Genomic DNA, 723 nt, shown 5'->3' with positions numbered 1-723 from the left:
AGAGGAATGGAGAATTCATTCTGCATGACTGATTGAGCAGAGACCTGGATATTCTCTTGCCTTTGGACTAGGACTTCACCATTGACACTCCCAGTTCTCAGGCCTTTAGACTTGAACTGGAATATAAACCATTGGCTCTCTGGTTTTCAGGCATTTGGACTCTGACAGGAACTACACCATCAGCTTTTCTGGGTCCCCTGTGTGCAGATGGCAGATTATGGGATTTATCGGCCCTCGTAATTGTATGAGCCGATACCTTGTAATAAACATGTATATAGATATACAGATGTAGATGTAGATATATAGATAGAGACATCATATTGGCTCTGTTTCTCTGGAGAGCCCAGACAGGTAGTGATTCCCACCACATCCCCATTCAACTCACCTATCTGGCCTATGCTGAAGACAGATGTGTCTTGGAGAATGACAGTGGATTACTGCAAGCTTAACCAGGTGTTAACTTCAAGTGCAGCTGCTGCACCAGATGTGGTGTCATTGCTTGAGCAAATTAACACATCCCCTGGTACTTGGTATGCAGCCATTGATATGGCAAATGCCTTCATCTCCATACCTGTTTATAAGGCCCACCAGTAGCAGTTTGCTTTCAGCTGACAAGGCCAGCAATATACCTTGTCCTATCTCAGGAGTATATCAACACTCTACCCTATGTCATAATTTAGCTCACAAGGATCATGATTGCCTTTACTTTCCACAAGATGTCAC

The 723-nt window shown here is 43.8% G+C and overlaps 1 annotated feature.

The window, feature by feature from the left end:
• Positions 222-723: an enhancer, noted in NCBI's record as "NANOG hESC enhancer chr18:22355329-22355830 (GRCh37/hg19 assembly coordinates)". NCBI's record gives its function as "activates a minimal SCP1, AML or CMV promoter by ChIP-STARR-seq in primed H9 embryonic stem cells {active_cell/tissue: H9 hESC(primed)}" and the evidence as "EXISTENCE:reporter gene assay evidence [ECO:0000049][PMID:30033119]".

Source organism: Homo sapiens, chromosome 18, assembly GCF_000001405.40.
Source record: "Homo sapiens chromosome 18, GRCh38.p14 Primary Assembly".
NCBI classification, from domain to species: domain Eukaryota; kingdom Metazoa; phylum Chordata; class Mammalia; order Primates; family Hominidae; genus Homo; species Homo sapiens.
Note: the sequence above shows the minus strand (reverse complement) of the source record. Positions and strands in the feature narration are given on the sequence as shown.